We start from the raw sequence: 25,034 nt of genomic DNA, 5'->3' as shown, positions 1-25,034 counted from the left end.
TATCACTAACCTATGCATGGGGCCGAGCGGCGATGGCACCAGAACCTGCTCAGAAGGGCCTGCTTGGCCGCCTGCCTTCAATGAATCGAGCAGTGTTCAGCAGCCGCCTGATGTCTCTCGCACTAAGTGCAAGGTTGCATGTGCCGCCGGGCTGCGGGCACTTAGTTCCAAGCTCTACCAAAGCCCAGGAGACAGGTGGTTGGGGGCTGAGACATGAAACTGATGAGGCCTCAGAATGTCCCCTCTCACAGTTGGATGTGCGTGTCTTAGGAGTGGTTTATGCAAATATCACTCAGAAAGAAAACTGGCAGAAACTCAGGTGAGGTTTTTTGAAAAGCCTGAGTAACTCTACCCATTGTCGGGAGGGGGGCTGTGGGGGCAGCAGTGGGCCACCTGGGGAGTGACAGGACACAAATGCTTCTGGGTAGAGCCGCCGCCCAGGCCCAGGGGCCTTAGGAAGTAGTCCCCTTTACACGTAAGCCCTGCTTGTGTATACATGTATGCATCTCTCTGTGTGCATGTGTGTGCGTGTGTGTGCTCGTGTGTGTCTGCATGCATGTGTGTGTGTGTACATCCGTGTGTGCTTGTGTGCATGTGTGTGCCTGTGCATGTGTGTGTACACCTGCATGGACATGTGAGCAATTGAAGATGGTGAGAAAAGGCAAAGCCATGGATATTGTTGTCAAACCAAAGACACTCTCCGAGTGTCCAGTATAAAAAGAATTTTCAGGCCCTTCCCTATCCCGATTGTTCATCTAAGACGTGGAGGACTGCCCTGCATAGTGGCTTCTGGCCTCATGTCCTACCTTTCAGGAACACTTACTACTGGTTAGCTGTGGTGCCAACTGTGCTCTGAAACAGCCTCGTCCTTCCTTGTCAGAGTCTAGGGTTTGGGGCACCCCTGGTGCTGGATACTGTAAAAGCTGGTTCATGCTTCTTGGTCCATATCATGGCCCCCTCTCTGCCATGCCCAGGACATTGCCCACTTGGCATAGCCCTTCTCATCCTCTGGAGCCAAAGCAATCTGGAGACTGGACAAGATTTACTTATCACAGGAAGTGACAGGCACCAGGAGCCCATGCTGCTGCAGAAGCTCCAGCTCTGCCATTGTGGGGACCCCTGTTCCTCACCATTTAACCTCTGTCCAGAGTGTTCTGTGAGTCTCCCACTGCAGTGCCGGGGCCCGAGCAGGGGGTGCAGACGGTAGGGCTCACCCTCACAACAGCAAAATCCCCCAAATCCCCAACAGCAGGGCAGCTGCTTCGAGAACGGTGCCCCCTTCTGTCCCCCAACAGCTGGGGAGGTGCTGTCCTCAGCCAGCACCTAGTTAGTTACTCTTTCAACACTGAGGCATGCTTGGTCCTCCTCCAGGGCACTGCACTGCTGTTGACCTATCAGTGTGTGGAAGCCTCACATCCACCCGGTGTGGTGTTATACCCATTTACAGATCAGGAAACTGAGGCCTGGTAAAAATAACTCACATGTTCAAGATCAAAGCTTGTTGCAGGCCGGGTATGGTGACTTACACCTGTAATCCCAGCACTGTGGGAGGCCAAGGTGGGCAGATGACTTGAGCCTAGGAGTTCAAGATCAGCCTGGGCAACATGGTGATCCCCTGTCTCTAAAAAAAAATACAAAAATTAGCCAGGCATGGTGGCACATGCCTGTAGTATCAACTATTCTGGAGGCTGAAGTGGGAGGATTGCTTGAGCCTGAGAAGTTAAGGCTGAAGGGAGCCATGATCGTGCTACTGCACTCCAGCCTGGGTGACAGAGTGAGACCCTATCTCAAAATAACAACAACAGCAAACAAACCAAAAAAAAAGAAAAGAAAAGCTTTTTTTCTAAGTGTATATAGTGAAATCAGAGAGAGAGAAGTACCAAGGAAGTCCTGGAGGAGGTGACACTAGGCCTTCAAGATGCGCTTTTAGGCCCATCTTGTGGCCCCCAAGCCTGGTCCTCTACCGGGATATCTGACTCCATTATTGAGTTAGAAAATGCAGAGACTCCATGGAGGACGCATCCTACTTGCCTGCAGGAAGTGAGGGAGGAGGGAAGGCCCGGGGACCTCTTAGCCCACAGAGACCAGCCTCCAACAGCATGGCTCACCTCTTACCTGCAATGAGTACCAGGCACAATCGGTAGCAAGTTAATGTCACCTCTATTGTAATGATATTTTCACTTCACCTCAACTGTATAAGTCATTGTTATACTAAAAAAAACAAAAAACAGAAAAAACAAACAAACAAACCCCAAAAAACAAACAAAAAAAGACCCTTTTATTTTCTGCTAGTCATGAACTAAGGAGGCAGCATACTCCAGATTCCTTTGACTACAGACCTGAAAGTATTTGTCAATTTTCTTGTTCTGCAGAGACTTTCTCAAAATGTGTTGTACATTGTCTTCCAGCTGCCCCAAAGGAAAGGAGGCTGGCTCTTCCTTTCCCGTAGGCGGCTCTGGTGAGGGTGGCTCCATGTCTCAGAGCTTGGCTTCCTATAGGAAGCCCTCAGCAGGACTCCTGGGGAGCCAGGGTGAGGGGACGGACGTGGGCCTGCAGCTCAAGCTGAGGAGAGGGTCCCCAAAACTCCTGGGCCAGCAAATTCTCCAGCAACGATACAACATAGACAGTGTCACCCCACAACTCCAGAGCTCACATTTCCCATCAGCTCTGTGCGTGGCAACAGGCCACTCTCCTCGGGAAGCCCGCACAAAAGGTGGTCTCTGCCCAAAGGGGCTCACCTTCTCGTGGACACTTGGGGGTGACCAACACCAGAGGACATCAGAAGCCCATTTCAAATGCATATAGAATTGTACGGAATAGGGTGTTGGGTGTTGGAGGAGGCTTTTGGAGAGGCTCAGTGGCCAGAGTGAGGTCTGAGTAGAAAAAGCAAGTACAAAGGCATCTTCCGGGAGTTGGCGCCAACCCCAGAAAGAGGTTCAGAAACGGGTCCAGAGCGTGGCGAGCTCGTTGGCCAATGGGCCATGGAGGGACAAGAGTGTGGGTGGTGTCGGGAGTGGGGATCTCTGAGTCAAAAACTGTGACATCGGATGGGGCAGTGTCCTCCCTTGTAAAATGCAGATAAAACCACCCACCCATATATTTGTGAGAATAAAATGAGATCACAGATATCTGCTGCCCAGCCCAGCACCAAGCCACAAAAGGTGTTCAGTAAACAGCATCCCTCCCCGCTGCTCTCCAGGAGCACTCTAGGCAGGTAGGATCCCGCAGGGGTCAGGGGCCCGGACTCTGCCACTGAGAAGCCAGAGACCTTGGGGAAGCTCCTTTGCCTCCCTGCACCCATTTCCTCACTTGTAAAATGACTAGTCCTGGTACGTCCCTTGGGGGGTTGCGGTGAGGATTCACTGAGGACCTCTGGAAGCCTCAGCACAGAAGCCAGCACCTGTTATCACTCAACAACTTCTTCCCATGCCAGATCAACCAGGTTCTAGATGGTCCCAGGTGCAGTGCTGACCCTGCAGCCATAGGGCTGGTGGTGGTCCTCGGCTTCAGAGGGAACACCACAGACTACTCACCTTTGCCGGTAGCACCACCAAAGCACCATGCTGCTCCCCATCCCCACACTCAGGTTGTCCCTGTGCCTCTTCCCCTTCACCCCTTCACTAACACCTGACCAGCTCCTACTCATTCTTGAAAGCCTAGTGTTACATCTTCCAGGAGGTACTTTCCGCTCTCTGATCTCGCTACATACACTTAAAGAGATCTCTCTCACTGGGATTCCCCACAGAGTGTTATTTATATGTTTGTATCTGCCTCCCTCACTAGGCCATGAGCTGCTTGGGGATTAATATCATTTTCTTTCTTTTTTTTGAGATGGAGTTTCATTCTTGTTGCCCAGGCTGGAGTGCAGTGGTACGATCCTGGTTCAACCTCCGCCTCCTGGGTTCAAGCGATTCTCCTGTCTCAGCCTCTCGAGTAGCTGGGATTACAGGCACCCGTCATCACGCCTGGCTAATTTTTTGTATTTTTAGTAGAGACGGGGTTTTGCCATGTTGGGCAGGCTGGTCTCGAACTCCTGACCTCAGCTGATCCCCCCACCTAGGCCTCCCAAGGTGCTGGGATTATAGGCGTGAGCCACCGCGCCTGGGTGATTAATATCATTTTCTATTCATCTTAGTGTCCCAAAGAGCTAGCACAGTGCCTGGCACATAAGGCAGAATCATTTGTTCATTTATTCAAACAATATTCTCTAATCCCTTACTCTGTACCAGGTACCATTTTGTGAATGAATGGATGCGAGTCCCGCGTGCCCCATTCCTGCTGTGGAAAAGGCTTTGAGAACACTTCTTACTCTCAGCAGGGACACTGTCTGAGAAAGAGACAGACAGACCAAAAGAGGGTTAATGTGATGTATTTTAGACTTGACTTTGCTTTCAGTTTCAAAAGTTAGGTCCTGTGCAGCCCCCAAGTCTCCACCAGCTTCTGCTCACCACTCTTCTTGCCAAAGCCCCTGCTCACTTTACTCATGTTCACTGTCAAACCCAGACAGAAGGCCCTCCCAAGACAACTGCAAACCACAAAGAAAGGAGGGGAAGGAAAAGCTGCAGACCCTGAGCATAGCGTGGCTTTACTTACTTATTTGTTAAGCCCCCATCACGACTGCAGCATATAATGGGCCCTATGACAGGCCACAGAAAAGATGCCCTCCTCACGTTCATATTTTTGGGCGATGGGACAGATATCTAACCCCAAGCTGGGGGACAGTGCTGCCTATCATGGCCTCAGGGAGATTGACAGGTGCTGGGTAATGTCATGCAGCAGAAGAAGGTGAGGAGGGAAGGCTCAAGCTGGATCTCTCAGATGGTTAAAATAGAAAGGTGAGGGGAGAAAGAGGTACTTTTGGGTTGGGAGAGTAGGCAAAACAAGGGAGGACCAGGGGTCTTCTGAGGCTGTGTGAGAGGGTGGAGGAAAGCCGCTGGAGACCTACAGAGTGTGAGCAGCTGTCTCCTGACTCATCCCACCTTTATCTCTTTTTCCCAACATGTAATTGACAATAACACCTGGATTAGGAAAAAACCCACAAAACTACCAGGTCTCAATTACGTCAAACTATTCATGTCAGAGTGCTGACACCCTTGCTGCCTTAGTCACTCATCTTTAACATTCCTGGGAGCAATAAGAGAGCAAGTGGTTTAATCCTTGCTTTAGGGAGAGGAAAACTACTGCAAGAGAGGCTGGTGACTCACTCCTTTAAGGTGACTCAGAGTCAGGCATGGGGATCATAACATAGTAACCTAGTTCCCAGGGCTGCTCCTGCTGCTAAGGAAACAGCCTAGAGGGTGGGGAGTGGGAAGCATAGAGCTGGATGTGGAGCCATAAAGACCTAAGCTCAGGTCAATATACAACAACCAAAAATAAACTGCATTTTTATATAACAGCAATGTAAAATTGGAAATGAGGAAAAAACAGTATCATTTATGATAGCAACAAAAAAGTTAATAATGAATCAAACTAAATATGTTTAAGATCTGGATGCTGAAAACTAGAGAGCACTAATGAAAGAAATCAAAGGAGACCTAAATAAATGGAGAAACATACCATGTTGATGTGAAGACCCAATAGTTACGTTAATTCTCCCCAAACTGATCTATAGATTCAATGCAGTTCCGATTAAATTCCCAGAAGGATTTTTTTTTTTAGAAGTGAACAAACTAATTCTAAATTTTATATGAAAATGCAAAGGAAGCAGAATTTCCAAAGCAATTTTTGAAAAAGAATGAAGTTGGAAGACATTCTACGTGATTTCAAGACTTACCATAATAATACAGTAATCAAGGTAGTATAGAATTGGCAAAGGGGTAGTTATCAATGAACTAGTCTAGAAACAGAATCACACATATATGACCAATTGATTTTCAACAAAAGTGCAAAGGCAATTCAATGGAAAAAGGACAGTCATTTCAATAAATGGTACTGAAAATTTGTATACCCATACATTAAAAAGAAAAACACTTCTTAATCTATACCTTGCACCGTATACAAATGTTAATGCAAAGCAGATCATAGACATAATATAAAATTATAAAACTAGAAAAAGGATAGAAAATGTTTGTGATCTTGAATGAGGCAAAGATTGCTTAGATATGACACCAAAAACACAATTCATAAATGAACAAATTGATCCATTTTACTTCATCAAAATTAAGAACACCTATTCTTTGAAAGACACAACATTAAGGGAATAAAATGAGAATAAGATGATAAGCTATAGACTCAAAGACAATATTTGCAAATCACATAATGATAAATGACTTGTATCTAGAATATATAAAGAACTCTTGAAATACTCCCTCAGCATGCAAACTAGTCTGGTGCCCCACTTCCACAGGAGCAGCACCCAAGTGGGGTGGATCAGCCACACAAACTCTAGCAGCCTAGGCCACTGAGGTACTCACAGGCATCACTGATATTGATACAGCAAAAGAAACTTCATAGAGATTACTACTGTGCCTACCTGGAACCAAAGCCAATGCACCCTACCCAACGTATACTCTAGGACATATCTGAAGATGAAAGTCTTTCCCTATGAAAGCCACCCTATAAAATTGGGAGAGGTGACCATTCCACCAGATGTACAGCTATCTATGCAGGAACACAACAAACATGAAAAAAAAACAACAAAGAAATATGACACCATCAGAGAAACAATACCTCTCCACTAACTGACCCCAAAGAAATAGAAATTTACAAATTGCCTGGAAAAAGCTCAATATAATTATCTTAAGGGAACTCAGTGAGGTAAAAGAGAACATGGGTAAAGAATTCAATGAAATCAGGAAAACAAATCATGATCTGAATGAGAAATTCAACAAAGAGATAGATGTATATAAAAAAAGAACCAAACAAAGTCTTACAGCTGAAGAATTCAATGAATAAAATTAAAAATGTAATTGAGAACATCAGCAGCAGACTAGATCAAGTAGAAATAAGAATTTCTAAACTTAAAGACATGTCTTTTGAAATAACCCACAGTACAAAAGAGAAAACAGAATCAAAAAGAGTAAACAAAGCTTATAGGACTTGTGGGACACAATTAAGCTGACAAATATCTTCATTATGAGGTTTTCAGAGGACTAACAGTTGGTAAAAGGCACAGAAATCTTATTTAACAAAATAATAGTTGAAAATTGTCCAAGTCTTGATAGAGATATGGACATCTAGATCCATGAAGCTCAAAAGACCTCAAACAGGTTCAACCCAAAGAGGTCCTCTCCAAGGAACATTATAATTAAACTGTCAAAAGTCAGAGACAGAGAGAATTTTAAAAGGTGCAAGATAAAAGCATGAAGTCATTATAAGAAAATCCCCATTAAACTATCAGCAGATTTCTCAGCACAAACCTTGCAGACCAGGAGAGAATGGGATAATATATTCAAAGTGCTGGAAGAAAAAAAACCTGCCAGCCTAGAATATTATGCCCAACAAAACTATCTTTCAGAAATGAAGGAGAAATAGTCTGTCCCAGACAAGCAAAGCTGAGGGTATTCATCACCACTAGACCAACCTCACAAGAAATACTTAAGGGAGTACTTCAACCAGAAGTAAAGGAACAATAATTACTATTGTGAAACATATGAAAGCATAATCTCACGGGTGCAGATAAATTTGTTATCAAATTCAGAATACTATATTACTGTAATGATGATACATACTTTTTCAAACCTCTAGTATGAAGGTGCCTTAGTCCATTTTTGTGTTGCTATAAAGGAATACCTGAGGCTGGGTAGCTTATAAAGAAAAGAGGTTTATTTAGCTCATGGTTCTACAGGCTGTATTAGAAGCATGGCATCACCATCTGCTTCTGGTGAGGGCTACAGGCTGCTTCCACTCATGGCAGGAAGGAAAATGGAAGCAGGAATGTGCAAAGATCACTTGGTGATAAATAAATGCAAGAGAGAGAGCAAAGGTGCCAGGCTATTTTAAACAATGAGCTCTTGGGGGAACTCTCACAGAAACTAACAGAGCAAGAACGCATTCATTACCATGAGAACAGAACCAAACCTTTCATGAAGGATCCACCCCCATGATACAAACACCTCCCATTAGGTCCTACTTCCAACATTGGGGATCAAATTTCAGCATGAGGTTTGAGGGACAAACATATCCAAACTACAGCAGAAGGTTAAAAGTCAAAATGATCAACAATAACTATGCTAAAATAAGTTGCTAAGGAACACAAAATATAAAAAGATATAAATTAAGCAACAAAATTAAAAATGGGGGAGTGGTTAGGGTAAAAGTCTGGAATATTTAAATGTAGCCAAAGATAAGTTATTATCAACTTAAAATAGTATACTATAACTCTAAGATTGTTAATGTAAACCCCGTAGTAACTACAAAGGAAAAAACTATAGCAGATACACAAATGAAAAAGAGAAAGGAATCAAAGCTTACTATTATAGAAAATCACCAAACCTCAAAGGTAAACAATAAGAGAGAAAGAAAGGAACACAGGATGTACAAAAGAGCCAAAAAACACTTAAAAATGGCAGGAGTAAGTCCTTACCTATCAATAATAAATTGATAGATTTATTCCACCAACTTATGGAATAAATTCAATGTAAATGGATTAAGTTTCCCAGGTAAAAGATACAGAGTGGCTGAATGGATAAGAAAACACAACTTGACTATGTGCTGCCTACAAGAGATTCAGTTCACCTGTAAGGACACTAATAAACTGAAAGTAAAGGGATGGAAAATGATATTCCATGCAGATGGAAAATGATATTCCATGCAAATGGAAAATAAAAGAGTGCAGGAGTAGCCATACTTATATCAGATAAAACAGACTTTAAATCAAAAGCTGTAAAAAGAGAAAAAGACACTCGCTATATAATAATAAAGTGGTCAATTCATCACAGGATATAATGTTTATAAATACACATGCACCCAACATTGGGGCACCCAGATATATTAAGCAAATATATATATATATATATATATATATATATATATATATATATATAGAGAGAGAGAGAGAGAGAGAGAGAGAGAGAGAGAGAGAGCAATATTATTATATCTAACTTCTGAAGGAAGAGATAGATTGCAATACAATAATAGTAGGAGACTCCAATATCCAGCCCCACATTCAGCAATGAACAGATCATCCAGACTGAAAATCAACATAGAAACATTATATTTAAACTAAACTCTAGATCAAATGGACCTAAAAAACATTTACAGAACATTTTATCCAGCAGCTGCAGAATATACATTCTTCTCTACAGCACATGGCACTTTCTCCAAGATAGGCCATATGTTACTTAGGTCACAAAACAAGTCTCAAAAAGTTTTTTTAAATAAAAATAATATCATGTATCTTTTCTGATCATAATGGAATAAAACTAAAAATCAATAACAGGAGAAACTTTGGAAGCCATATGAATACATGAAAATTAAACAACACGCCCATGAATTACCAATGGATCAATGACAAAATTCTTGGGACAAATTAAAAATGGAAACATAACATACCACAACCTATGGAATACAAGTTCTAAGAGAGAAGTTTATAGCAATAAATGCCTATATCAAAAAAGTAGAAAGATCTCAAATAAAAAAATTTAACATTGCACTTCAGGGAACTAGAAAAACAAGAACAAGCTAAACCCAGAATTAGTAGATAGCAATAAAAAATAGAGATGAGAGCAGGAATAAACAAAATAGAGACCAAAACCCAATACAATATATCAACAAAATAAAGGTTGGTTTTCTTTGTTTTGTTGATATATTGATACAAAAAAATCAACAAACTGTTCTCTAGACTACCTAAGGAACAAAGAGAGAAAACTCAAATTTAAAAAAAATCAGAGATGAAAAGGCAACATTATAGGTGATACCACAGAAATACAAAGGATCATAAGAGACTATTATGAACAACTATATGGCAACAAATTGGAAAACTTAGAGGAAATGGAAAAATTTCTGAACACATACAACCTAATAAAATTGAATTATGAAGAAATAGAAAATTGGAACAAATGAATAATGAGTAATGAGTTAAATTAATAATAAAATCTCCTATCAAAGAAAAGTCCAGGACCTGATGACTTCATTGCTGAGTTCTACCAAATATTTAAATAACTATTACCAATGTTTTCCAAACGATTCCAAAAAATTAAGAGGGAATTCTTCCAAACTCATTCTGTGAGGCTGGCATTACCCTGATACCAAAACCAGAAAAGAACACACTCACACAGAAAAGAAAACTGCAGGCCAATCTACATGATGAAAACAGATGCAAAAGTCCTCAACAAAATACTAGCAAACTGAATTCAACAGTACATTAAAGAGATCATTAACCATGATCAAGTGGTACTCATCCCAGGGATGCAAGGATGGTTCAACATATGCAAGTCAATAAGCATGATACATCACATTAACATAATCAAGGACAAAAACTATATAATCACTTCAGTAGACACAGAAAAAGCATTTGATAAAATTTGACATCCCTTCATCATACAACTCTTTAAAAATCAGATATACAGGAAATGTACCTCAACACAATAAAGGTCATATATGACAAACACACAGCTAACATCATATTGAACTGGAAAAAATTAAATGCTTTTCTTCTAAGATCTGGAATAAGACAATGATGCCCTCTTTTACCACTTTTATTCAAAACAGTACTGGAAGTTTTAGCTAGTGCAATTAGGCAAGAGAAAGAAATAAAGGGCAACCAAGTTGGAAAATACAAACTCACATTGTTCCTGTCTTAGTCTATTTGTATTGCTATAAAGGAATACCTGAGGCTAGGTAACTTGTAAAGAAAAGAGATTTATTTAGCTCATGGCTCTACAGGCTGTACAAAAAGCTTAGTGTCAGCATCTGCATCTAGTGAGGGCCTCAAGCTTTTTCCACTCATGGTGGAAGAGGAAAGAGAGCCAGTGTGTGCAGAGATCACTTGATGAGAGAGGAGGCAAGAGAGAGGTGTGAGGGAATGTGCCAGGCTCTTTTGAACAAGCTATCGTGGGAACTAATAGAACACGAATTCCCTCATTACTGCGAGGATGACACCAAGTCATTCATGAGGGATCTGCCTGCATGACCCAAACACCTCCCATTAGGTCCCATCTCCAACAGTGGATATCAAATTTCAATATGAGCTTTGGAGGGGTCAAATATCCAAACCATAACATCCCTGTTTGCAGATGACATGATCTTATATAAAGAAAACCCTAAAGACTCCACCAAAAAAGACCCATTAGAACTAATAAATGAATTCAGTAAAGTTGTAGGAAATAAAAATCAGGAGGTTTTTTTATATGCCAATAGTGAATTATCTGAAAAAGAAATCAAGAAACAACCCCATTTACCATAGCTACCAAAAAACTAAGGTACCTAGTAATAAATTTAAGCAAAGAGGTCACAGAGTTCTACAATGAAAACTATAAAAAAATTGATATAAGAAATGGAAGAGGACACAAATAAATGAAAAGATATCCCATATTCATGGATTGGAAGAATTGATATTGTTAAAATGTTCACATTACCCAAATCAATCTATAGGTTTGATGCAACCTGTATCAAAATACCAATAACATTGTTCATAGAAACAGATAAAACAATCAGGAAATTCATATGGAACCATAAAAGACTCTGAATAGTGAAATCAATTTTGAGTAAAATGAATAAAGCCAGAGGGTCCATCACATTACCTACCTTCAAAATATACAACAAAGCTATAATAATCAAAACAGCATGGCACCACCATAAACACAGACATATAGACGAATGGAACAGAATAGAGAACACAGAAATAAATCTGTGTACTTACAGGGAACCAATTTTCAACAAAGGCAACAATAATACACACTGGGGAAAGGGCAGTCTTTTCAGTAAGTTTTGCTGGGAAAACTGGACATCTACATGCATAACAATGAAATTAGAGCCTATCTCTCACCATACAAAAAAACAAAATGGATTAAATATTCTTATATGTAAGAACTGAAACAATAAAACTACTAGAAGAGGCCAGGTGCGGTGGCTCACGCCTGTAATCCCAGCACTTTGGGAGGCTGAGGCGGGTGGATCACCCGAGGTCAGGAGTTTGAGACCAGCCTGGACAACATGGTGAAACCCCTTCTCTACCAAAAACACAAAAGTTAACCAGGCGTGGTGGCGGACACCTGTAGTCCTGGCTACTTGGGACGCTGAGGCAGAAGAATAGCTTGAACCCAGGAGGCAGAGGTTGCAGTGAGCTGAGATTGCACCACTGCATTGCAGCCTGGTCAAGAAGAGCGAAACTCCATCTCAGAAAACAAAAAAAAAAGAAAAAAAAAGAAACACCACACACACAGACACACACACAGACACACACACACACACACACACACACACACAACTACAAGAAAATATAGGGGAAATGCTTCATGATATTGGTCTGGGTAAGGATTTTTTAAAAATAATACCTCAAAAGCATAGGCAACAAAAGGAACAATAGACAAATGGGATTACATCAAATTTAAAAAGCTTCTGCACAGCAAAGGAAACAATAAACAGAGTGAAAAGACAAGCTGCAGAATAGGAGAAAATATTTGCAAACTGTGTATCTGACAAGGGCTTAATATCCAGAATGTATAAGGAACTCAAATAACTCAGTAGCAAGAAAACAAATAATCTGATTAAAAAGTGGGCAAAAAACCTGAATAGACATTTCTCAAAAGACAGCATACAAATGGTCAACAAGTACATTTTAAAAATGCTCAACATCACTAATCATCAGGGAAATGCAAGTCAAAACCACAATGAGATATCACCTTACCCCAATTAGAATGGCTAATCAAAGAGGCAAAAAATAACAAAAGCTGGCATAAATGTGGAGAAAGGGGGAATCTCATACACTTTTGGTAGGAATGTAAATTAGTACAGCCATTATGGAAAACATTTTGGAAGTTCCTCAAAAAATTAAAAATAGAACTACCATATGATTCAGCAATCCTACTACTGAATATATACATCCAAAGCAAACGAAATCATTATATCTGCACTCCCATGTTTATTGCAGCACTATTCACAATAGCCAAGACATAGAATCAACCTAAGTGTTCATCAGCAGATGAATGTATAAAGAAAATGTGGTACATATACACAATGGAATACTCTTCAGTCATAAAAAAGAATGAAATCCTGCCATTTGTAGCAACATGGATGAACCTACCTAGAGGACATTTTGTTAAGTGAAATAAGCCTGGCACAGAAAGACAAACACTGCATGATCTCATCCATATGTGGAATCTTAAGAAGTTGATCTCATAGACGTAGAGAGTAGAATAGTGGTTACCAGAACCTGGAGAGGGAGGATGAAGAGGGGTTGGTTAATGAGTATAAAAATACAGTTAGATAAAAGGAATAATTTCTAGTGTTTGATAGCATACTAGGGAGACTATGGTTAACAATATTGTATTCTATATTTCGAAATAGCTAAAAGAGAGGATTTTAAATGTTTTCACCTCAAAGAAATGGTATATGTGTGAGGTGCTAAATATGCTAAATACTGTGATTTGATCATTACACAATGTATACATGTGTCAAAACATTGCACTGTATCCCATAAACATGTACAATTATCCTGTGTCAATTAAATGTGAAAGCCAAAAAAAGAAAAGAAAAAACAAACAAGGCTGGGACAGGAGGATCACTTTAGCCCAGGAGTTGGAGACCAGCCTGGGCAACATAGGGAGACCCTATCTCTACAAAAAAAAGAAAAAATAAATAAAAAATTAGCTGGGTGTGGTGGTGCATGCCTGTGGTCTCAGCTACTCGAAAGGCTGAGACTAGAGGATTGCTTGAGCCCAGGAGGTCAAGGCTGCAGTGAGCTGGTGGTCACACCACTGCACTCCAGCCTGGGTAACAGAGTAGGACCCTGCCTCAAAAACAAAACAAAACAAAAATGAAAAACAGACCACAGAAATTTGGACACCCCACTAAAGTAAACATACAGATGGCATATAAGCAAGTACATGAAAAAACATCAGTCATTAGGGAAATGGAAACCAAAATCTTGATGAAATACTATGTACCTATTAGAATAGCTTTAAAAACAACAATACTAAATGCTGGCAAGGATGTGGAGCAACTAAAACTTTTTTTTTTTTTTTAAGAGATATAGTATCACTCTGTCATCCAGGCTGGAACGCAGTGGCGCGATCATAGCTCACTGCAGCCTCGAACTCCTGACCTCAAATGATCCTCTCGCCTCAGCTTCCCAAGTAGCTGGGACTACAGGTGTGCACTAACCACCACACTCAGCTTATAGATTGATTGATTGATTGATTGATTGATCGAGACAGAGTCTCTGTCGTCCAGGCTGGAGCTCAGTGGCGTGATCTCGGCTCACTGCAATCTCTGCCTTCCGGGTTCAAGCAATTCTCATGCCTCAGCCTCCCAAGTAGCTGGGACTACAGGTGCCTGCCACCACACCCGGCTAATTTTTTATATTTTTAGTAGAGACGGGTTTTGCCATGTTGCCCAGGCTGGTCTCGAACTCCTGAGCTCAGGCAATCCACCCACCTTGGCCTCCCAAAATGCTAGGATTACAGCATGAGCTATTGCGCCCACCTCCAGCTAATTAAAAAAAAATTGTAAAGATGGGGGTCTTGGCCGGGTGCCGTGGCTCATGCCTGTAATCCCAGCACTTTGGGAGGCCAAGGCAGGTGGATCACCTGAGGTTGGGAGTTCGGGACCAGCCTGACCAACATGGAGAAACCCGGACTCTACTAAAAATACAAAATCAGCTGGGTGTGGTGGCACATGCCTGTAATCCCAGCTACTCCTGAGGCTGAGGCAGGAGAATCACTTGAACCTGGGAGGTGGAGGTTGCGGTGAGCTGAGATTGCACCATTGCGTTCCAGCCTGGGTAACAAGAGCAAAACTGACTCAAAAAAAAAAAAAAAAGATGGGGGTCTCACCATGTTGAGGTTTGGAGGGTCTCAAACTCCTGGCCTCAAGCAATCCTCTCACCTTGGCCTCCCAAAGTGTTGGAATTACAGGCATGAGCCACAGTGCCCAGCCAACTAAAACTCTTATATATTCCTGATGGGAATGCAAAGTAGTAGTCTCTTTGGAACACAGTTGGGTAGTTTCTCATTAAGTTAAACAGATTTACTATACGACCTGGCAATCTTACCTCTATATATTTTCCCAAGAGAAATAAAAATGTATGATGACACCAAAACCTGTATGCAAATGTGTAGAGTCCTTGGCATGTAATGTCAACTGGAAACAGCCCAGACATCCTTCAATAGGTGAATGGTTAAACAAATTGCTGTATATCCACACCATGGAACACCACTCACCCATAAAAAGGAAGGAAGTACTGATACATGCAACTACATGGATAAATCTCAGGATCATTATGTCTGGCGAAAGAAGCCAGACTCAAAAGGCCACATCCTGTATGATTTCATTTATATGACATTCTGGAAAAGGCAATGCTATAGGGACTGAAAACAGGCCATTCATTCCCAGAGGCTGGAGTACGCCGAGCAGCTTATCTGACAAAGAGGTGCAGTGAGTTTTTGAGCTGATAGAAACCATCTCCATATTGATTGTGGTGGTGATCACTGGACCAAGCTGATGGAAACCACATACATTTGCCAAAGCTCTCAGAATGGCCACAGAAAGTCGGAATTTTTACCATATGTTAATTGTATCTCCAGAAGTGCGGGACACCAAGCGCCCCTTAGCCATATGACCTGGGCCAAATGATTTAATCCGTCTGAGCAGCAGCTTCCTAATCTATAAAAAGGGGATGACAATAAAACCCACAGACTTTGAAGGATCAGCTGAAGATGTACACACACACACACACACACACACACACACTGTGTAAAGGGATGCATAAAACATCCAGATACAGCCGGGTGTGGTAGCTCATGCCTGTAATCCCAGCACTTTGGGAGGCCGAGGTGGGCAGATCACCTGAGGTCAGGAGTTGGAGACCAGCCTGACCAACATGGAGAAACCCCATCTCTACTAAAAATACAAAATTAGCCCAGCATGGTGGCACATGCCTGTAATCCCGGCTACTCGGGAGGCTGAGGCAGGAGAATCACTTGAACCTGGGAGGTGGGGGTTGCGGTGAGCCGAGATCGCGTCACTGCACTCCAGCCCGGGCAACAAGAGCAAAACTCCATAAAAAAAAAAACAACAACCCAGATTCTCGGAGCACTAAAACCTGTCCCCAGTCCCAGGAACCAGCTGGATGCACCACTCAGCCACTCCAACGGAGGCGAGGCCTCCTTCTCATGAAAGTGTAGAAATGGCCATCTTGAGAGAAATGGCTAAACAAGTCCAGCCCCCAGTGCTTGGTGTGGAGTCACGTCACCCTGGCACACCTGGCGGGCGGTGCAGAGCACAGGCTCTCAATGGCAGCCAGTGAGGGCACCAGGGCTGCAAGCCCCGTAGGAATGCATGTGGGGGAGAGGTGCTCTTTTTCTTTGCAGAGTGGAGCAGATTCATTTACACCCATGAGGCTTTCTTTGGTACTGAGTGCTTTCTGTAGGGTGGGGTCCCTTCCAGGAACTTTTCACAGCCTGGGTGTCTGAACAGCAACCCTACTGCCACAGGCACTACTAGCGACCCTGTTGTAGACAGGAGGAAACTGAGGCCCAGAGAGCAGAACTCACTTGCAGGGGCTCAGGAGTAGTAAGCAGCAGGGCCAATCCTGGGCCGTGCACTGGTACTGGCGTTGGCAGTGGGATCTGCGGGCTCCTTTGGGGACATGTCAGACAAGTAATGGCATCCATCACAAGGGTCCAGATAGAGCTCTGAGGGGAGGCTGGTCTGAGGCCCAGGGCCAAGGCACCCACCTGGAATGAGCCTGAGGACAGCAGGTCCCTGAGCTGTGTCAGATGCTTAGAGAAGGCAGGCACCCTGGGCGGGTTGTGTCACCCTCTTGCTCTGGCCCTGTGAACCCTAAGCTCGCTTTGCTTAAGAGAGGGAGGCTTGGCAGCTCCTAGAGGCCCAGGCCCTGGCTGAATTTCTCCAGGGTCCTCAGAGGGTGGGGAAGTGACTGGGCAGAAGTGGGAAGGAACCAGCCCTGCGCCGTCGCCCGGGCTCTTGGCTCCTGCACCCAGAGCCGTCCGGCAGGGAAGCGGCAGGTAAAGATGAATCAGTGATTCAGGGCTGCAGGCCAGGCACCAGGCCAGGCTGTAAAAGTTATTGTGCAGCATCACAATGGAAGGCGGGGGACACAAATAGCATCCGAGGGAAACTAGTGGCCCTGACTTGGAAAGCAAACCTCTCTGCAGCCACGGGACCCCCAACAGCAGCCTCACAGAGCCTGCCCCGGCCACCCTAGTCTGGGCTAACTGTCCTGCCTTCTCCTCCAAGATTCCCTTGCCTGGGTCCCTCCTCCCTCGGCCTCACCACACTCCTCTGGGGACCCTGTGCTTGGACTCCACCCTTTCCTGTCCAGACCACTGTGAAGGCCTTTAGTCACCTCCTAGAGAAGCAAGATTTTCAGCCCTGGCTTTCTACCCCCACACCCTACAGTAAGTAAGATAAATTACCCACCCACCACCTGCCCCCACTTCTCTCCACGGAGCCTCGTTCGGCCTGTGGCCACTCATGTCTGTTTCTAAGGGAACAGTCAAGGGCAAATCAGTGGAGAAGCTGGCCTGTGCTGGCAGGGGTGCTGCAATGGGGCTGTGCCCCTGCCTTCCTGCACTTCCTGCCAGGGAGCCACTCCATTCTTTTTTGCCATCTCCCAGGCCGGCCAGGGGACAGGGTCGTGTTCACACAGTGCTAAGGGAACACGCTGACGTGTGTGACATCAAGAACTCCAGTGCCCACACAGCCCGAGTCCGGATGGTGAGCTCCAGGGAGACCCAGCAGGGCTGCAGGGGGAGCACTGACTGAGCCCATGGGGGAAAGAGGCTCCTGCCGAGCCCAGAGCCCAGAGAGCTGGCCAAGGGGTAGGGTTAGGAGGGATGGAGCTGGGGGCAACAGGCTAGAGAAGAGACAGCTGGGGGTGGGAGGATCTCTCCAGGGTCGTCTCACAGCACCCAGCGGACTCGCTCTGTGCTGCTGCAGAGTGACTCTGACAGTCAGAGCCAGGCAGCCGGGGACAGGCACAGAGCCAGACTCCCTTCCTCCTCCCCCTCCCTCTCGCCGTGCAGTGCCTACTCAGTGCTGGGAGGCTCTGAATGGCACGGGGATGGAGAGTGTAACAACAGAGCGTTAGGGCCCTGCCCCAGTCCGGCAGGAAGCTCGGTCTGGTGGGGAGACCAGCCCAGGCAGACACAGCAGTGCATGCACTGGGCACACCCTGGCTCTGGCTGGAGGGCTCAGAGGCCTCAGGGCCTTCCAGCACTGGTCTCCGTGTCTGAACCCCCCATGGGACAGGATGGGAGCTGCCAGCAGAACCAACAACTCAGTTCCTGGTAACTCCAAGTGGAGATGGGCAGGAACGCTCCCAGGAGGCGCATCAGCAGTCAGAACCAGGGGCTTGGGCCTCAGGAAGGCAGGCTGCTGGCCAGGCCCCCTGGACTCAGGAGACCAAGGCCAGGACGTTCACCAGGGCCAAAGAGAGCAACACCAACAGGGCTGGGCTCCAAGGCCGGGCCGCCTCCCCTCTAGCTTCCCAACACCAGTCCTCCCTGAACATTTCCTTCCAGGAAGACAGGGGCTATTAACTACGTCCCATCCGATTCACAGGGACGTTTGAAATCAGGAAGGAGTGTGGGTTGGATCCACGTTTCTGTTCATACCAGGCAGGCACATCGGAAGGCTCACGGTCAGAGGATGCTGGGACAAACGCCACGAGAGGTTCCTTTTTGTCTGGCTCACCCAGAAGAGAGGCTCCTCTCCTCCCTTCCCTGCAGCACAACGGCCTGGCTGGCACCCAAAGGGCAGCCGGCATGGGCTGACCTCAGAGGAGCAAGGCGTGTTTGCAGCTCTGCCGCTCACATCCACAGTGGCCATGACAACAGGTGCAGCACCATCCATTAAAGCCCTGTGTCATTTCACTTAATTCTCACAACGACCCCCGGAGAAAGGGACTACTATCCCCATTTTCCAGATGAAAAAGGAAATTGGTCCTTAGAGTGATCATCCACCCAAGGCTAGTGACAGGGCTCAGATTGGAACCCAAGGCCCTCCAAGATCTCAAGTCACAGACAAAGAAAGCCCATCTCTGACTTGGCAGGGGAAGGGGGAGGTCACACTGGGAGAGCTGGATGTTGATTCTGAAGGCCTCCCCCAGTAAACCGCTCCAACAACAAAAAGGGGCTTTCTGTACATTATCTGCGAAAAGCCAAGTGAGGGGGAGGGAGGGGAAAGCAATCAAAGCAAAGATCAATTGTGTTGCAGACAATGTGGCAAGAAGACAGATCTTGCTGGAAATTCCTTCTGACTGGACTCTGCCAGGATCAGAGTATTTTTCATTCCAAGATTAAGCAAAATTCTTTCCCTGTCATAACCTCCTACCCATCTGTGTCCAAACTCCCACTATCATTTTTACACCGTGCACATTTTAAAACCTGTTTTGCAGCTTTTTCTCTGTGTGTGTTAGTTGACGCTAACCTGCCTCCAGCTTTAAGAAAAGCAGAGAAGCACGAGAGGCCCCAGGAGGCACCTGGGCTGGGTGAGCCTCAGGCTGGGACCCTGGCAGGACAGTGGCTGGGGTCTAGGGCAGCTGGGACCCTGCTTGCTGGCAGGGGCAGCTGCAGCCGTGAAGCTCAGAGACCCCACGGCCTGGCCTGGACAGAAATGGAAAACAGATGGGAGAAGAGAATGGGAATTTCTTAATAAGGGATTGGATTTGGGAAGTGAAGGGCGAGCAGAAACTAGGATTGTGAGGTCTCCTGGTTGGGGTGGCTGTGTGGTGGTGCCATGTCGGTGGGAGAGAGAAGCCAGTCACTGGGTGGTGGAAATGGTGGTGAAGAGGTGTTTGGTGGATGGGAGGAAGCAGGGTAGGGTCCAAGCCTGTTCAATGAGAGGGGTCAACAGCATACACAAGGGAAGGAGCCCAGTCTGGAGTAATGGATTTGTGGGAGAGAAGTCTCCCGTTGGAGGGGGGAGACTGAAGCCATGGGAATGGGTGAGTTCCACCCAGAGACAGACCCAGGAAGAGAGCCCAGGAAGAGAAGGAAGCCAAGGGCAGGGTTCCAGGGGCTGCTGACTTTCAGGGCAAGCCAGCAAAGAAGATTGGGAACCAAACAGTTAGGAACATAAGAGGGACCGGAGATGTAGCATCATGGAAACCATGGCAACAAGAGCAGGCAGCAGCACTGAACGTCACCAGCGGAGACTGCCGTGAGATGGAACCAAAGTCCTTGACTTGGCAACAGGGACTTCTCAGAACAGTTTCAGTGGCCTGTATGGGTGTTAGGAGGGGAGGAAGGAGCCAAGTGACCCGGGAAAGTATTTTTTATGCATTTTCCTACTGACTTCTTAGCCTTGGGAAACAGGAGCTGTTGCCACTTGTGTTTTACCAAGGAGGAGGTGGAGGCTGGTGGGGATCAAGTAACTTGCAGCAGGTCACGTGCTGGGAAGGGAGGGCTGGGCCTCCAACCCCATCTGCCCATCGTCAAGGTGCACGGCCTTCTTAGGAGGAAGGGAGGCATCGCTGCGTAGGAGGAGGCCTTGGCAGATGTTAGTTGGAGAGAGAAGGCCAAGAACATCCACCGTGGGGTGGGAGATGAGATGCTCCACCGAGCAGGCTGAGGGCCCAGCCATGGCTGGAAACCCAGCCCCTTGGCAAGGTTGACACTGCCATTGTCCCACCATCCTTGGCAGGGATGACTGAGTGGCTACAGCCTCCCAGAGGGCCCAAGTCTTCCGGACACTGCATCTCTCTCTCGCTGTACAGCTCAGCTGGGTGACGGCGGCTGCTCATGATGAGTCAGGGCATCACGGGGACTCTGCACAAGATGCTAACCGAGCTCTGCCTCTTGGGCCTGCGAAGCTGACTACGAACCATGTCTTTAGCACAAATGTGGCCAGTTCAGTACAAACTTGTCCCAGATGAAAAGACGGGCTCAAAACGCAACCTTTCTGACAACAGATGGCCTTCCAGCGGGCTGGGGCTGTGCGCATGTGTCTCTGCCTGACAATGGTCCCTGTGAAGCCAGACTTCCTTTGGGGGGCCAATGCCTTTCATTCTCTGGGGGAGCGGAGGAGCCTGGAGGAGCCAGGGTGGGCTTCTGCAGCACCCTTAGCATGGGGGAGGCACACGCAACACCCAGGTGCCCAGAGGCCCTCACAGCCCAGAAGGAGCGAGTGAGTGAGGCTCCTGCATGTGGAACGAAGCTCAGCACCGCACTGGACACAACCAAATGGCCAGTGAGGGCCTCGGATTTCAATCAGACCGTCAGAGGCGCCCAGTGCTGGGAGGCCAAATGTGGAAGAGAGTGGCTAGCAGTGGGTGGTGAGAGCTGAGCTTTGGGAGAAAGTGCTGGGGAGCGGGCACCCCAGAATCACTTTGGAAAGCAGGGAGCATCGTGCTGGGTGGAGCACGCTGTAGAGATGTCTCCAACAGGCCTCGGGGCTGGCCTGGCCTCTGCAGCCTCATTTTTTCCTGGTGTTTGCTGCTCTCCAGGCAGCACTCTTCCCCCCGGGGCTCTCCCTGTGAGTGAGGAGTGGCCTCTAAGGGCCCTTCCCTGGCCTGTCTGGCTCCCATCACTTCAAACACTGGCCCGCGAGCCCAGTACTTGCACATTTGGAAATGTAAGTGCCCAGAATAAACCTGCAGAGACGCTATTCAAACAGCAAGGCCGAAATCAACAGATTCAACTTGAAACGTAAAACGCCAAAAGCAAATGTCTAAGCAGCTGTATTTGTTCTGGAAATATTGCTGCAGTGGTTTGACCGGCAAAATCAAGTGTCCTGTTAATAGTGAACAGGCTCCTGGCTAACACGGTGAAACCTTGTCTCTACTAAAAATACAAAAACTTAGCCGGGAGTGGTGGCATGTGCCTGTAGTCCCTGCTACTCAGGAGGCTGAGGCAGGAGAATAGTTTGAACCTGGGAGGCGGAGGTTGCAGTGAGCCGAGATCACGCCACTGCACTCTAGCCTGGGTGACAGAGCGAGACTCTGTCTCAAAAAAAAAAAAAAATAGTGAACAGGCAAGCAGGATGGGCAGGGGGCATAGGAGGGCTGTTCTGCTGAAGCTGGGTGGTCCAACTTCCAGCTGGTGCAGTACTGCCTCCTGCAGAGATGTCCTATCCTGGGAGCTCACACAGGAAAGGAGAGGCTGTGAGTCCTGGGCCCATCCCCACGCTCGCCTGGCTGAACCATCCCTGGGCAGTGGCGCTGACGGGTACAGGGAGGCAGAGGCTTCAGTGGCCCAAGAGGTAGTTGGACATGTCCCCGGAGTCTTTCCACTCCTTGCCAACCCAGGGTCCTTGCCAGGAACTCATCTCCAAAGCCGCAGCTCTGCCCCTCCTAATTAGCAACCACACGCACACCCAGTTACATGCTGAAGTGATTTACAGAATTTTATGGTCTGTGATTTAGCACACCTAGACTTGACTATCTCTATTCTAATTAAATTAACAAAAAATTAAGAGTGACAAAATGGCAAAGATTGATTTATCTAATGTGTGTCCTTGCTGCTTTGATAGGTACAAATTTCTTTTAATTTTGAATAACAAAAAGGGAAATATCAAGCATTTGATCTACTTGTTCGCCAAAAAATTAGCCACGGATTCACAAAAGGCCCTCCAAGGCCCACACATCGACTCATATCAATCATCACACACAGTATAGGGCCCACAGGGCAGTGGACATGAAGAAGCTACCCAGGCACTCAGGATTAGCATCCAGGTGAGGTCTGCAGCCTTAGGGGGCCCTGGCCAGCTTGCTCCCCTTTCCTGCACCAGGCCAGCTGCCCCGGAAAGTTGGACTGGAACCAAGCCACTGAGCCACCGTGAAGCTGCGGCCACTTTCAAACCTCTGGCAGAAGCAGTAAGTACAAATTGTGCTGCAGGTGGTGCTTTCAGAATGGAGCCAACAGCCATCTTTCGCTCCATTCCCCCTTTTCCCACATCCCTGGCACAGAAGCCTTCCCATGGTATTTCCTGCAAGAGAAGCCACAGCTTTCCCCTGCCACCTTTTCTTTCCCAGGGTGGATCTAGCACTGGGAGTTGGAGCAGGGCGTGGCAGCCCAGTCCCGTCCTGTGTTTCAGTGGGAAGGGAGTTCCATGCCCTTCTTTGCTCCATTACATGTATGGGGCTCTGTGGTCACCTTTGGACTTTGCTCCCACTATACTGGAAAAATGGGGGCAGATTCTCTGTTCTTCTCTGCATACCCGCACCGAGGGTGTCATTGGCACATGGTGGGGACTCAAGAATCCTCCACGATCATCATCCTCATCACCCTCATCCTCCTTATCAAAATTATCATCATCTCCATCATCCTCATCCTCCTCCTCATCATCATTCTTATCATCTTCAACAACATCAGCAGCACCAGCACCACCACCACCATCACCATCATCTTGTTCGACAGCATCGACAGTAGCAGCAGCACCACCACCATGACCATGATCACCACCATCACCTCACCCCCATCATCCTGAGCTAGCACTTACATGGAGCTCACTCTGTGCCCTATGTTGTTCTAAGTGCCTTATATGTTGTAATGCATTTTAATGCTCTCAACAACCCTATGAAGTAGATATCCTACGCCCATTTTTACAGATGAGAAGACTGAGGCACACAGAAGTTAACCTAACTTGTCCAAGGTTAGTTACTGGGCAGACAGGACCAGGGTTTTAACCGGTTTGAATCTAACTGGCACCGGAGTCTGTATTCCAGATTGCTATACTACACACGTTAGATGAGTGAGAAGGAGTAAATGAATAATTAGGCGTCTGAGTAAGTGCACAGAGAAATGTTCAGTGGGTGTCAAGGAGCCTTAGGGAATATAAAATGCTTTTCTCACTATTTATATTTGGCAACAATGTCCGTCCTGGCCCTCCTTCTTCCTTTTCTGCGGCAAAGGTCTTAGTGTGTTGATGGCGTAGGAAGCCCTGCAGGGTTACGACCCACACTCTCCATGTGGTCTCAGTGTACAATTTCCAGGCAAGCATGCCCTTGATTTTTATGATCATGTGATTATCTTACTTCTTCCCACATAGAACGCTAAGCTCCACACAAGCATGGAGATGGTCTGGTTTTGTTCATCATTATATTCCCAGTGTTTAGCACAGTGCCTGGCACATACTAGTTGCTCAGTAAATAGATACTGGTTGTATAAATAAATGAACTCATTGGCAAAAGGAAAGCATTTTCTCAAAATTTCCTAGACTCAACCTTTGAGGCTATAGGAATATCTATCTATCTATCTATCTATCTATCTATCTATCTATCTATCATCTAGGAAGCAAGTATCTATCTAGGCTAAGAAATCACTGCAACAAAGAGGCATGTGCTTAATGTTTTATGTCAAATATTGTTGTCCTTTTATTCTTTTGCCTGCAGGAGGGCTCATCAATGTATGGAGAAATGAAAGAGCGCCGCATTTCACATTGGAGGGATCTGGGTTTGAGTCCTTGGGCCAGCCTTGCTACAGTGGGGGCAAGAACACCAATCACACTGGCTTATTACGGAATTCAAATGTGGCAGAGTATTTAAACTATGAAGTGTAGAATAAATTAATTGGCTTGCCAATTCCCCATAGCTAGTACTAGAGGCTGGCCTCAGATGGAAGAACCAGGGGCTGTGCCTGTCCTGGGGAATGATGGCAACGCCTTCCATCCTTCTGGCCCATGTTTACATCTGGTACTACGCTAAGCATCACAGAGCAATTAGCGCACATCCTCTCCAAGTACCAGATTTACCTGATTTCATAGATAAGGAAATGATATCCAGAAGACATATCCCAATTCACCCAAGGAAAACAACTAACTTTGCATCTAACTCTATGGCAGAGATAGCTATCTGTTTCCCTTTGCCCAGCTTTCTCTTCCTTAAGTATTAGAATCCCCAAATTTAGCTGGGCATGTGGACACTCAGAGTGAAGCCTACATTTCCTACCCTCCTCTGTAGTTAGATGTGACTG

The 25,034-nt window shown here is 45.9% G+C and overlaps 1 protein-coding gene and 1 long non-coding RNA gene across 27 annotated transcripts in view, besides 3 other annotated features; one reads left to right on the top strand and one right to left on the bottom strand.

Annotated features, from left to right (window-relative positions):
* Positions 1–25,034, bottom strand: part of CAMTA1 (calmodulin binding transcription activator 1) — a 984,253-nt gene that overhangs the window by 362,529 nt on the left and 596,690 nt on the right. The gene's annotated exons all lie outside the window — the stretch shown is intronic.
* Positions 3,426–3,926: an enhancer, noted in NCBI's record as "H3K4me1 hESC enhancer chr1:7463312-7463812 (GRCh37/hg19 assembly coordinates)". NCBI's record gives its function as "activates a minimal SCP1, AML or CMV promoter by ChIP-STARR-seq in primed H9 embryonic stem cells {active_cell/tissue: H9 hESC(primed)}" and the evidence as "EXISTENCE:reporter gene assay evidence [ECO:0000049][PMID:30033119]".
* Positions 4,548–5,747: an enhancer, noted in NCBI's record as "P300/CBP strongly-dependent group 1 enhancer chr1:7461491-7462690 (GRCh37/hg19 assembly coordinates)". NCBI's record gives its function as "activates an origin of replication core promoter dependent on BRD2, BRD4, P300/CBP, MED14 and CDK7 cofactors, with strong dependence on P300/CBP, by STARR-seq in HCT116 cells {active_cell/tissue: HCT116}" and the evidence as "EXISTENCE:reporter gene assay evidence [ECO:0000049][PMID:35650434]".
* CAMTA1-AS2 (CAMTA1 antisense RNA 2) lies at positions 17,424–24,691 on the top strand. 3 transcript variants are annotated; one of them, NR_146199.1, is made up of 3 exons: positions 17,424–17,519; positions 17,739–17,838; positions 24,455–24,691. It is a non-coding gene; the product is annotated as a CAMTA1 antisense RNA 2 (long non-coding RNA). The 3 variants fall into 3 exon arrangements; NR_146201.1 differs by lacking the exon at positions 24,455–24,691 and adding an exon at positions 18,741–18,995; NR_146200.1 differs by lacking the exon at positions 24,455–24,691 and adding an exon at positions 18,685–18,995.
* Positions 18,512–19,049: an enhancer, noted in NCBI's record as "H3K4me1 hESC enhancer chr1:7448189-7448726 (GRCh37/hg19 assembly coordinates)". NCBI's record gives its function as "activates a minimal SCP1, AML or CMV promoter by ChIP-STARR-seq in naive H9 embryonic stem cells {active_cell/tissue: H9 hESC(naive)}" and the evidence as "EXISTENCE:reporter gene assay evidence [ECO:0000049][PMID:30033119]".

This window comes from Homo sapiens, chromosome 1, assembly GCF_000001405.40.
Source record: "Homo sapiens chromosome 1, GRCh38.p14 Primary Assembly".
NCBI lineage: Eukaryota > Metazoa > Chordata > Mammalia > Primates > Hominidae > Homo > Homo sapiens.
This window is presented reverse-complemented; position numbering and strand designations above follow the sequence as displayed.